This window comes from Homo sapiens, chromosome 9 (assembly GCF_000001405.40).
Source record: "Homo sapiens chromosome 9, GRCh38.p14 Primary Assembly".
NCBI lineage: Eukaryota > Metazoa > Chordata > Mammalia > Primates > Hominidae > Homo > Homo sapiens.
The window spans coordinates 104,791,035-104,804,769 of NC_000009.12; the positions used below are offsets into that span (position 1 = coordinate 104,791,035).

At 42.1% G+C, this 13,735-nt stretch overlaps 1 protein-coding gene across 1 annotated transcript in view; it reads right to left on the reverse strand.

Annotated features, from left to right (window-relative positions):
• The window catches only part of ABCA1 (ATP binding cassette subfamily A member 1), a 147,150-nt gene that overhangs the window by 10,029 nt on the left and 123,386 nt on the right, over positions 1 to 13,735 (reverse strand). Inside the window, exons 32-43 of the mRNA NM_005502.4 lie at positions 13,592 to 13,686; positions 12,250 to 12,282; positions 11,020 to 11,125; positions 9,476 to 9,550; positions 8,785 to 8,954; positions 7,387 to 7,564; positions 5,275 to 5,390; positions 5,019 to 5,163; positions 3,353 to 3,476; positions 2,137 to 2,266; positions 1,752 to 1,872; positions 902 to 964 (exon numbers count right to left, since the gene is read on the reverse strand). Coding sequence (NP_005493.2) covers positions 902 to 964; positions 1,752 to 1,872; positions 2,137 to 2,266; positions 3,353 to 3,476; positions 5,019 to 5,163; positions 5,275 to 5,390; positions 7,387 to 7,564; positions 8,785 to 8,954; positions 9,476 to 9,550; positions 11,020 to 11,125; positions 12,250 to 12,282; positions 13,592 to 13,686 — 1,356 coding nt within the window. The remainder of the gene's footprint in view (positions 1 to 901; positions 965 to 1,751; positions 1,873 to 2,136; positions 2,267 to 3,352; positions 3,477 to 5,018; positions 5,164 to 5,274; positions 5,391 to 7,386; positions 7,565 to 8,784; positions 8,955 to 9,475; positions 9,551 to 11,019; positions 11,126 to 12,249; positions 12,283 to 13,591; positions 13,687 to 13,735) is intronic.

Here is a 13,735-nt window from a genome sequence, read left to right on the forward strand (position 1 = left end):
AGGAAAGATTAAGTTGTATAAGCAAACTCTAAAAACATGAATATAAATGCCCCTAACACGTAACTACCTCAAACCTTCAATTCTTAAATATCAGAGAAGAATCAAATATTTTCTTGGTTTTAACACATCGTATAGATATTTAAATATGTATTTCATAATGGGACCATTTTAAGTGTGGCTGTATTTATAAATATTATTTGAGTTGTCAAGTTGAGGCCAAAGTTAATGTGTGAAAAACAGTAATGAAAGCCAGCTAGCCAAATTGCACCACCTACTCTGGCAAAAGGGCATAAAAGAACACAAACGGAAACCAGAAAGGAGAAAATCTATTTTTAAAAAACTATTTGAATGTCATCACCATCCCAAATGGATCACAAAAGCATGTTTTAGATGTGCGTGCTTTTTCTGTTTTTGTTGTTGACATGAGTCTCACTCTGTCACCAGGCTGGAGTGCAGCAGCGCAATCTGGGCAACCTCCCCCTCCTAGGTTCAAGCAATTCTCCTGCCTCAGCCTCCCGAGTAGCTGGGACTACAGGAATGCACTACTATGCCCAGCTAATTTTTGTATTTATAGTAGAGATGGGGTTTCACCATGTTGGCCAGGATGGTCTCAATCTCCTGACCTCGTGATCCGCCCACCTCGGCCTCCCAAAGTGCTGGGATTACAGGAGTGAATCACTGCGCCCAGCCCCATGCTTTTTCTTAAATTGTATTGGATTCTCTGAAATCATTCTCTTGACATACAGGGTCCCTCTCTTCTCGATGACTAATTGCTCCATCCTGGCATAAATACAGAAGCCTTTAAAATCCACTTTTACCTCTTAACGAGCATCGTTGCTTGATTGGGTAGAGATAGTCTGAACTAATAGGGACAAACGCAATATAGACAAAGTGTCTTTACCTCACCAGGAGGAATGCCCACGCAAATCCTGTCAACAGCAGGCTTCCGCTTCCTTCTATATATCTGCAACAAACAAAATGTAAACATTCATAAGCCTCAGTGACTCACAGCTCTCCCAAGCAACTGTGGAAGGCAGGACTATAAACCACATACACTGCAACATAAGACTTGTCAATAACCCTAAGCCATAGGCATATTTGATGTGCCAAGAGCCTTGGTCTGCGTTTGTGGCGACTGGCTTCTGAATGATTCTGAAGCTCAAAATAAAAGTGAACTTACTTTTTAACCTGTCTTTTTAGAACCGTATCATTCATTATTATCTACATAATTTTTCATCTATTCAACATATATATGTATTGCAGGTATTTTAAAAATTAAATTCCACAGAGTAGAAATTTGTAATAAAAATATTGCAAATACTGTACAGATTCCAAAAAAGTAAAATTTGGAGATGCTGGCATCTAGAGGGCTGATATAGACCCTCTTGAACACAGGCAATATATCAGCTTTTTGGACTATGAAACTCAAACTCAAAATCAACCATTTATTCTCTCTACCTCAGTTTTGACTAGATATACAATATTAGTATGTTTTAATAACTAACACATAAATGTAAGCATATAAAACCAATGTATTCGAGAATGGGAATTCATATCACAAAAGAATTCTCAGTAAGAATTCTTTAAGAAGTCTCCATGGTGTTTTTAAAATAAAATTGACAGAACCTTGGTATAGATGTACATTTTGGGAACACATGCCCTTTTATTAAGCAAGTCAGCAAACTGCTGGGTTACAGCACATAAAGCTGAAAAAAACTGAAGATGAGCTATTGTAACCTGTACTCTCTCACCTTCGTCAACTCCTTGATTTCTAAGATGTCATTCTGGCCTCCACCATCAAGAATTCTCTGTCTTTCCCGCCTCACATCTTCATCTTCATCATTCAGAGGAGATAGCTTTGCATTTACAGGTCTTGGGGGAAAAAACAAGAAAAATGAACCTTTCAAACTATTTTTCAGGACAAAGATTCAGTCTCTAACGTAGTATTATAAAACCTACTTGCCACAGTCTCCAGGATGGGCAGGGAGGGGGCTGCGGGATGCCCACATCAGGAAAATCAGTTTTATCACATATTTTGAGTTCAGTTCAATGCAACCCCCATTGGTGAGTGTTTCCCTGTGCGCCTCCTCTGTGACCCTCAACCAGGTGCTCCACGGGTTCTAAGAAAAAGCTCACCTGGGCCTGATGAAGAATCTGTACTGGATCAGAACAGTAATGAGGAAGAACACCACCCCTTCCACGGCCATGGCGAAGAGGTTTCGTCCCACCAAGTCCCAAGATAATGGTGACACAAAGCGATTCTCCCCTAGTAGACACAATGCAGAGATCCGGTCAGAATGGAGGGATCAAAAACCATGGCCCTTCCTCAAATTTGGGCCTATGTTCCTTAAAATTCACCGATCTTCCAATAAACACAAATGGCTATCACCCATGACAAGGAAAAAAGAGTAACAAGAGAGTGATCACTTTCCAAGTCTGATTTGGGAAAACTTTTTATGACCCAGTATCAATCAGAATTTCAGAGCCAATGTGTATTCGATTTGTAACTTCACTGAAGATATCTAGTATTTCTTTTTTTAATGAGACATGCCAAAAATCCTTTTAAAAAGGCAAACGACCCAAGTAATTTTCACAGTCAGTATTTTTAATAAATTCTAAGTTTTAGTAATAATAAATATCAGAAAGCACTTTAAGCAGATTCCCCTTTCAGTAGCATATATCCTAGTGAATCAATTAAACCACTAGATTCAATTAAATCTAGTTCCATGTAACCATTCCTTAAATTCCTTACATATCTCCTTTGTAGCCCAAGTTGCAAAAAGCCCCTCTTCTATGAACAGTAAATAACATGGCCCATTTGACTATATTATCTAATGGATGAATAATAATCATATGGCTACCGGAGAAATATTTTTAACCATTCTAAAGGTAGAAAAAGATGTAATACATTATAATTTTATAGACTGTGTAAAAGATAATAAATGACCTCATCTGCAGGCACATGATTCGCCTAAAAGAGCCAAAGTTTGCATCTTTCCTTCTGATTCCCTGATCACCTAATTCTCAAAGTTATGGTTTGACTTTTCCAGTGCTTCTAACCAACCCAGACAGTGGCATGAGCCAGTGGATCCAAGCAAATGCCACTATTTTCCTTACCTTCAAAACTGCCCTTTCACTTTTCTCAATGCTATCAGAGACACAGACAAATGGTTGTGTCACAAAACCCATGCCACAACCAGCTGTGTTGGCATGAGCCCTGTCACTGGGCATGGGGGTGGGGGAACATCCTGTGCTTAGTCACCTGCTTCTTTCCAAAACAAAGTTCAGGGTACCAAGGCCTATGCAGAGTGCCATCTCCATTAAAGCATCCTACAGCCACTGCTTCACTCACCAAACCTTTCCAGGGCATCAGCCATTGCCTGGTTTTTCACCATGTCGATGAGCCCTCGTCCCAGGCAAAAATGTGGGAAGATCAAGAACACGGACTTCAGGATATCATTGATATTATTCAGCTTCTAAAAAAAAAAAAAAAAAATGGGAGGGAAGGGAGGGTGAGGGAGAAGAAACGGGTGTCATTCATGGTTTATCCTAAAAATGTATCAAGTTCTGAAATATGGGAGTGAAGAAAAAATTTGATTCTCTAGGGACAAACCAGACCTTTTAATTCAGATACCAATTAAATAGCAGCAGGCATAGCTGATGATATGTAGCAATAAAATTCTATTCTTTAGAAAATCTGGAGAAATGCTCTGAGTATGGAGAAATAATGAATAAAGCTTAGAAACAGGCTAGATTTAATTAAAGCAAATCCATTAAAAATCCCTTAGCATTTGAAAAGCAAATTGCTCATGTCTGGGTCAATATTTGAGTTTCAGGATTTTGTCAGAATTTTAGAAATTCTTCTCAAATACATCAGAACTTATGATCCCACAAGGCAACAGTGGCCAAATATCTACCAACTGAATAAGGGGCTATACGCTGGATGCACTGTGCTAGGGCATGGGAGAGGCAAAATTATTAAGAAACAGACTCCACTCCGAGTAGGAAAAGTATGTAAACAGGAAATTACCATGTAAGTGGATGTACGTTGTACTGGAGGCATGGACTAAGGACTCTGAGAGCACAGAGAAAAGAGAGAACACCTCCCAGCAGGTAAGGAAAGCTTCACATTTTAGCTAAATCTTGAAGGGCAAGGGATATACTACCAGACCCTGTGACAGAAGAAGGGCATTTCAAGCCAGGCCTACAGGAGCATGGTGGTTGGAGGCAACTCATCTGAAGCTTACAGCTGGGAAAGGGTGTGGTGGGTATGGACAGGAAGAGTTGTGCAACTGTAAAAGGCCTTGTGTGCTGTGTTTGGACAAAGGCAATGACAACCGGAATGGAGAGGAAGCCTTATTTTAGAGGTCCATACCTGGAAGAACTGACAACATAACCAGTTGAATGTGGGAAATCTGCAACAGCAAAGCAAGCATCTAGGATAACTCTAAGAGCCAGCTTGGGCAACCGAGTGGATGGTAGTGCCACTGAGTGTGACAGGGATGGCAAGAAAAGCATTAAGTTCCAAGGGGAAAGAAAACTAGGACATATCCAGGTTGGGGTATCTATATACTATCTAAATGGAGCAATCCACTAGGCAAGTGAGAATTTGAGATTAGAGTTCAAGGTTATGATCAAGGCTAAAGGCATTGATCTTAGAGATGACAATAAAAACACCAAGAGAGGTGATGGTAAAAGCCTTAGGACTGAATGGCGTCGCCCAGCTCTCATGTGTAAAGTGGAAGGCAGAGGAGCTACTCTTGGTAAGAGCAACATTGAAAAAAGAAAGAAGTAAAAAAAACTGTCAAAAGAAACTGAAAGGCTTGACCAGCAAAATGTAAGGCACAGCAAGAAAGAAAGGTGCTTTGCCTTCTCAGGGAAGACAGACTCTGAAGACAGGACAAGGCAGTCAGCAGTGTCAATACCACTGACAAGTGGAATAAGATCACAATTAAACACTGTCCTCTGGCTCCCAGAGATGCTCATCCCAGCAGGAGTGTTCTCTCTGCATGACTCACATTGTCGGTGAACAGCTCCAGCACAAAGGTGGCCACGCTGCCATTAATGCCAATGAAGAGGTTCACGCTGGTGAGCACCACATAGGCTGTGCTGGGGATCTTGAACACAAAGGAGGCTGGGTACATGAGAGGTGTGATTGACCACCTGTTGAGACACAAAAAGATAAGTGTCTACTGAGAGTCCCTGCCCTCCTTCTGACACTGGGCACCAAATGCCTTATCCACTGTGCAGCTCCCTCACTCAGAGGTGACTTACCCATACAGCAAAAGTAGAAGGGCTAGCACAGGCAGATTGGTGGAGGACACATAGGACTTCTGCTGGAAGCAGATGAAGATGATAATGACCAGTGTGGCAGGGACAACGTAATTGCACTAAAAGTGAAAACAAAGACATCCAGTTCACCCCTAAATCAAATATACAATGCATCACACAAGTTTTCACCATTATCAGACAAGAAAGGGCAGATAAACATATTGGAGAGTAACTCTGAATTAATGAAGCCACATAAACTATTAATCAAAATACCCGACAATACATTTTGACAAGCATTTTCCCCTTGGCTGATTTTATAAACTACATGCCCTTTCTGTCTTTCCAACAGTCAAGCCAAGGTGTCACACTCAGTAAACTTACTGAACGATGGATTCCCAGTCAGAGTAATTTTAATTTCACAGGCAGCAAATAAGCCTCTATTCTTCTTCCCGAAGATGACTGTGTCTGTTTCGTCATTAATGCTATATTATAGTCTGCCCAAGTTCAATCTCACATGTAATCTATTTATGAGGTAACTGCTCATAACATGAATGTCAGAATTGTTTCATCGCACTGAGAATAATTTTAAAGTCTGTCCTGACAGTGTATCAAGCAGTAAAATGCAGAAATAAAGACTTGACGATAGGACAATTATGAGAATTCACAGCTGGCAGAGCAAAGCACCAGCAGGGAAGTGATAGTGGGGCTTGTCAGCCGCTAGAAGAACTGCAGCTTCAGACTACAGGGCTCTGCCTCAGTCCAATCCTACTTGATGTGTTTATCAACAACTTAGATGAAGACATGCTTCTAGCAAATTTCAGGAGCTCTAAAGCAGGGAGGGACAGATAATACCCAGGAAGACAAGAGATGGGTTCAGGGACTTGACCTTTCATCTCTGAATCACCTATGCCTGGCATAAGTCAGACACACAGCACTCAGTCTGTGTTTACTGAAAGGAGTAATTACTGAATCAAGATAAAACAAAAATAAAACCCATGTAATTTAATATGGATAAATATAAAGTTTAGTTTCAAAAAAATCAAATGAATTTGTATAGAATGAAGGAGACCCGAATTTCACAATCATTTGTGTGAAATGGAGGTTTTGGTTTACCACTAAGTTGCCAGTAAGACGGTGCTCCTTCCAAAATGCAAAATCTTTGTGCTGCAGTAATAGAAGTGTGAGCTAAAGATCAACTCCCTCTGGACCCATAACCATTCAGACCACAGCCTGAACACAAGGTTAATTCTTGGCTTTGCTTTTGAAAACGGACATTCACAATATACAGCATGGCCATACAAGGACAACCGGATCAGAAGAGTGACACAGTCTAAGGGGCTTGGTATAAACAGCAAAGATCTCATCATCATCTCCACCATCATTGCTCACATTTGTACAGTGCTTCGGAGGTTACAAGGTGTATTCTCATATATCATCTTATCTGGGTAATACTCAGGTTAAATGAGAGTATGAGAGTTATTTTTAAATATCCAGGGACTTGTTCGGTGGGAGAAGAATTAGATTTGCTCTGTGTAGCTTATAATTAATAGAAGTTACAGGGAGATATATTTCAGGGAGATATTGTAAAGTAGAGTTGAAATATAATTAGAACTTCAGAATTCCTTCAAATCCCCCATATTGGTCCAAATAGAAGCAATATATTGTGGCTGGCACAAAAACATATTTGCAATGGATGGATAAGCTGCTGATAAAATGTACAGAGTTTTCAAATGACAGATGGCTTTCCTAGTAAGGCAAAGAACATTCTGACTCTGGAGGTTAAAACCCATCAGAGAAGTTAGAGGCATTGACTTGGAGTTTTGACTTGTATCTCTCTGATTCTTGGGAAAGTTGTCACATAGGAACTTAAGTGGTAGTGGTATTAATTTTCATCATTGTGTACAGAATTTTCCCTCTGGTGTGACATGAACTCTGGTACCCAATGCTGTGTTTGGTGTCATGAAAGTGATCACCTGCCTCTGGCTATTTCTTTTTCATACATCTTTAGAGTAGCTGGAACATTTCCTGATGATAGCCAGAGCTCTTTCTTTCTTATCCATATCAATCCATGGCCCTGACAGACATCAGAAAGATACAGCAGGCCTGTGTCCTTACCATATCCCAGACAAAATTAGAGAGCCAGTAGATGACAGGCTTCACTCCACTGATGAACTGCAGGTGTTTTGCTTTGCTGACCCGCTCCTGGATCAGGAATACGACAAAGCTGGCTGGGACGAAGGACATTGCAAAGATGACACAGATGGACACAAGGACATCCACTGATGTGGTCATCCTGGAGAGAAAAAGCGTGTGAAAATCTGAGGGGTCTTTGATGCAGTTAGGGCTCAATCAGTGAGGACATGGACACACAGACAAACACACACGTACACACACACAGAGATATCTGAGGCACAGCCCAAGGAAAAACATCTGTTCACCAGACACATTTTATTCAGGGTTAAGATGATCATTTTTAAGTCTAAAAATATGACAATGTAAATGCCAAACTGGTATTACTGAGGTCAAAAGAGTCCACTGTCACAATAAAACTAATGAAGGAAGTCAGAGTGGTTAATGGCATTCACTTTGGTCCACTGTTCATGACCTTGTAAGAGCAGTAAGTTGTAAATTTTCACACACAAAGGACTAGTGGGGCTTGAAAACTAAATGAGAGCAGAAATATTACTCTGTAACTACTCAAATAAATTAATATTTCTGGCTGTAAATCAACTTGAAAATAACAGTATGCAGCCTATTGATCTAACACATACAAAAATTCTGTCAGATTTTTATAAGAAGAATGGTCTCATAAGCCCATTACATGGGGTCTTGGTATAAAGATCCTAGTGTCCTATATTAGTATCCTGTAGGAGTAAAGCAGAAACAGGAACTGCCATGCTCCACATACAGGAAAGGTATCTAATGTGTGTGAAATATCAACTCTGTGCTGAGTGCTGGGCTTGGCAATTTACATGAACTGCCTCATTTAATATCATACATCTATAAAGTTTAGAGACCAGATTCAAACCCAGATCTGTATGACTCCAAAGGCTGCATACTTTAAACTAGCTCATCCTGGCTTTAAACTTCACACACACACACACACACACACACACACACACACACACACAGCTTAATTTAGGAATTAAAGATACAAGCTAATAAAAACATATTCCACCAAATTTAAAACAGTGGTTTTTAAACAAATCAAACTGATTAAACACTTATAATTAAATTATAATTTAATTAACAATTTTTGAACTCACTTTATATGAATTCACTAAATGTTACGATTTTTACATATCAGTGTCATTTTCTCTTCTGCAGTTCAAGAAGCCCAACCAGCCAATTCGTAAACTTATCACTTCTGCCCAGAGCCTGGATCAATCCAGATTTATCATAATATAACGGTCTCTGCAGCTGTTCCCCTACAATGAGATTCACATTTTTCTCCCCTTCTCCATAACCCTCTCCCTTGCCCCACTCCATCTATACAGACACAGCCACACTTACAGAGCCACCTCTGAGAGCTGCTGCTTGGTGAGATTCAGGGGATGATTGAAAGCAGTAATTCCATAATGGCTAGGGTTCTCTCCCTTTTGCAGGTTGGCCCGGAGAATGGCATTGTTGATGACATTCAGGAAAGAGCTGATTGCATGCCAGCCCTTGTTATTGAACCACACCTGAAAGAAAACATACCAGGTACAAGGTAATGCCCCCAAACCGGGCTCCTGCAGGCAGGTGCATACCCACCAACCATGCCCATAAACCTCAGAAAGAAATTCTAGTCACATACCAAGGCAAAACACTATGATCAGAGAATATGGCGAAGTAATTACAGTGTTCAGGACATAGTGATCACTGACTATGTGGGCAGGCGCTGTGGTGAGGACCTTATACCTTTAACTCATTGAATTCTCACAACAGTTTGGAAATAGCTATGATTACTGTCTCCATTTCACAGATGAGGGAACTGAGGTTTAGATAGGTTAAGTAACTTAGTCAAGGTTACCTGGTATGTCTGGTGGCAAAGCAAATTCTCTGAATCACTACACTACACCGTACTGCCTCACTGGTAAAGTTAATAGTTTGCTCTTTTCTGTTGTGAATGCCCCTGCCAACTTTACCATGAGTTGAAAGTACTCCAGGAAACATAAGGATTATTGTTCATCAAAAAGCTACTAGAACAAAGACAGCGGTTTACCTTGACATTATTTTTGGTGTCCAGTCCTGTCATAAATCTTCCCAAGCTGTTGAGAAATCGATCTGCAGAACTGTCCTGTAAACAACAGAAACCTGCCTCAGTTGTGACTGTTCACATAGATAAGGGGCAACAGTCAATCTGGAACCTGTGGACAACAGGACGGCCCTGTGAAGAGCAATGCCACTACCTTGTTCACTGAAATTAAATGTGAAGCCATTAAATAAACGGCTCCTGAGAACCAAGTGACTAGAAATCTACAGCAGTGATGCTGCCATGATGCCACAAGTCTAGAAGGAATCACAGAGAAATCCTGGGATGCAAAGCCCCAAGATTTTAATGTCTGGTTATCACGGTGGGGTGAGGACTCCTCAAAGTGCTCCACCGGCATCATCTGAAGAGCCAGAACCACGCTCTGCCTGCAGATGTGCCAGATACATGGGCCCATCACTCAAAAGCAGACTTGTGGACTCTAGGACTATCACTGCTGTCCACAATCCTAGGGTCTGTTTTATCAGAGCCCCTTAATTCTCACCTAAAAATGGGAAACCTGAGACACAGAGAAATGAAGTGAGTACTTATCAGGTCCTACAGACCAGCTTGCCAGCTTAAAAAAAAAAAAGATTCATTTCCTATTTAGTCAGTGATTGTTTCAGCAAAGTATGTTTGAAACCCAGTTTATTTACCAACTGACCAAATTTGTAAACCTGGTTGTTCTGAGAGCTTTTTTTGAGATGGAGTCTTGCTCTGTCGCCCAGGCTGGAGTGCAGTGGTGCAATCTGGGCTCACTGCAACCTCCGCCTCCCGGGTTCAAGTAATTCTCTCACCTCAGCCTCCCGAGTAGCTGGGATTACAGGCGCACGCCACCATGCCCGGCTAATTTTTCTATGTTTTTAGCAGAGACAGGGTTTCACTATGTTGGCCAGGCTGGTCTCAAACTCCTGACCTTGTGCTTTGCCCGCCTCGGCATCCCAAAATGCTGGGATAACAGGTGTAAGCCACCGCGCCCAGCCTCTGAGAGCTTTTAAATCTCTGGATTTAATTTGTTTTTTGAGATGGAGTTTTGCTCTTGTTGCCCAGGCTGGAGTGCAACGGTGCGATCTTGGCTCACTACAACCTCTTCCTACAGGGTTCAAGCAATTCTCCTGCCTCAGCCTCCCAAGTAGCTGGGATTACAGGTGTGTGCCACCAAGCCCAGCTAATTTTTTTGTATTTTTAGTAGATACGGGGTTTTGTCATGTAGGCCAGGCTGGTCTCGAACTCCTGACCTCAAGTGATCCACCCGCTTCGGCCTCCCAAAGTGCTAGGATTACAGGCATGAGCCACAGCTCCTGGCCTCTGGATTTGTTTTTGACCTACACTTTTAAACGTACAACTAAGTAATTCAGTTTTGTCTGGCTCAAATCGCTAAATGCCAAAGACGGCTCTGTATGCCAACATATTCAGAACAATGAGCTGCCAGGTGATCCGTTTAACCTGCCAACTACTCCTATATCCCAGCAGCTACATGCCCATTTTTCTGATACATCTTACGATAGATATTTTACCTTGGCCAGCTTTAGGTGTTTCTTCATTTGTTTGATGGCATCATTAACTTCTTGACTCGGAGGAAGTGCTTGAGTATTACTGACACCCAGGGAAAAGCCGCCATACCTAAAAGAACAGCCTGACATTAAAACCCAGACAGTGGGGTGCACAGTATCATCAGCAGCAGACTCAGTGCGAGTGTGTACAAGGTTCACTGAGTCAAATTCCTGTTCAAAGGAGGGCTAAATTTTGCCTCAGAGAAGTTACACGTCAGCTTCCTCTAATAAATGTTGGCAATCTCTTAACTCCCATGGTTTCTGCCCAGCAGGGAGGACCTGGCCTGATTACACACACAGTTAGATAGCTGAGACATTGAGGAAAGAATGGTGTTTCATCTCACAGATGCTCCTCCAACCCAGTGGCTCGTGTGTGAATGTGGGTCTGGAGGCAAGCAGATGGGGAGTTGGGAGAGTGGGAACCCTGCACTGTCCAGAGTAGGCTGCGCTGGCCTTATACACAGGCTCCGGCTCCTTTCTAGCATGAGGGCTATTATAGGGGCCTGCGTCTGCTCTGCCCAGAGATCCAGGGGTCCTGGCCCTTGGGGAAAAGGCAGAGAGAAAAGACGGAAATCAGTAACAAGGAGCCTTCGGGCCCCCTGACGTAGCCACATCACCTATCTCATTTTCCATGATGGACAAACTGGCTTCAAGAACTCTTCTGTCCCCAGTCCCACCTGTTCCTTCAAAACCCAGAAGGACAAATGGGTTGAAATACAGTGCAAAGAGATGGTTTTGGCGCTTCTTATTTCCTCTAAGACCTTTTTAGTCCCGTGCTAAATGCCTAGAAATTGTCCTTGAGTCCTTAAGAAGCCTCGGGAATCTGGTTTGGGGGGAAAGTACAAGTAGGTATTCCCCTCACAACACTACTTACTTGAAATCCCTAGACACCTGCAGGAGATTTCTGATTCTCCTCAAGGAAATCAGTATATCAAATATTTCAGAGGCCTCTGGAGGGGCTGCTGGGCACTGAGCCATGATGCTCTAGGCAGAAACTCTATAAAGCAGGCCTAATCTAAATCTGTCTGTGCCCCTGTGTGCTCCACATGTTCACAGGGCTTCTGTCCTCCTCACAGTGAGATGGCACCCACAAGTGTGTGAGTGACAAACAATCCCCAAGGCTTTCTTCAATCCAAGACACCTACAACACCATCCTCCCCCTGAGCTAAACGTGCCAGAAAGACAGCAACTTACCTAAACTCATTCACCCAGATCTTGTTCTTTAAGCTGCAGAGACAAAGAAACAAAAAATCAGTTCAAAGAAAGCACTGAGCCTATTCCTAATGATGCAAAAGGAGTAAATATCCACCTGAGGATATAAGGAACGGACAGAAATAACCCTAGAATCAGCTGGCCTTGTAGGGTTGTGCTAGAGAAAAGAAGCCTGTGTTCAGGCCTCTTCCAGCCTTCTCTCCATCATAAATACCCTATTACTTATATGAGAACCAGGCCTTGGGTTAAACCAATTTACAAACCACCTTATAGACCAAGATGTAACCAAACTAGAAGCTTTTTCTTTCTTTTTTTTTTCTTTTGGGAGATGGTTTCGCTCTTGTTGCCCAGGCTGGAATGCAATGGCATGAACTCAGCTCACTGCAACCTCCGCCTCCCAGATTCAAGCAATTCTCCTGCCTCAGCCTCCCAAGTAGCTGGGATTACAGGCACGCACCACCACGCCCAGCTTATTTTGTATTTTTAGTAGAGACAGGGTTTCCCCATGTTGGCCAGGCTGGTCTCAAACTCCTGACCTCAAGTGATCCACCCGCCTTGGCCTCCTAAAGTGCTGGGATTACAGGCATGAGCCACCGTGCCTGGCCTAGAAGCTTTTTCAATTAACAATAATATTTCAATTGTGGATGACATATGGAGAAATTATGCTTCTTTCTTAGAAACTCATGGTCACTATCACTCCAGCATGCCCATGCCATTTAAAGTCACTGAGATACTCCTAACTGAAAGACCCCAACTGACCAAGTTGATGGGAAGGAAACGAGAACAAACATTTGCTGAGCCAAGCATTCAACACTAGGCTGCCATGTCCTGGGAAGCTAGAAGGCTCTCCCAAGGCTGCAGAGCCAAGGCAGGCTCCTAAACCTTCCCAGAGCTCCCTCCATGAGACCACAAATTATCATGGAGTCCCCCATCAGAGAGTACCCAAGGCACTCTATGTACACCATTTAATTTAGTCCTCATGACAAACTTATAAGAGCAACATTAATATCACAATTTAGATAAACTAAGGCTTTAAAAGGATAACCAGTTACCTGGTCAAGTTGCTACTAAGTGGCAAAATTTGACGTTGAATCCATTTCTATTTTCATTCTAGACCAGGCTGCCTCAGCCTTGAAGCTGACAACTGAATGTTCACAGTCCCTCTCGTCATCTTTTCTAGTTTGGGATAATATCCTAAACTTCCAATAGACAGAATCAGGCCATAATCTGGCATTTCCCCCACTGTTTCAGTCTGTTATTTGTAGGTCTTTAATTCCTCTAATTAGTAATAATACGGCAGGGGCCAAGTTTAGTAAAAAGTCACCTTTTGGCTATGATCTGCACATACGTCTTCACCAGATAATCCGAAATGTTTCTTCCTGTCAGGTCCTGAAGGATATCTGCAGTGTTTTGTTTTCTCTGTCATCACATGAAAACCAAGCATACGGGTCTTTATAGACAAGAATTG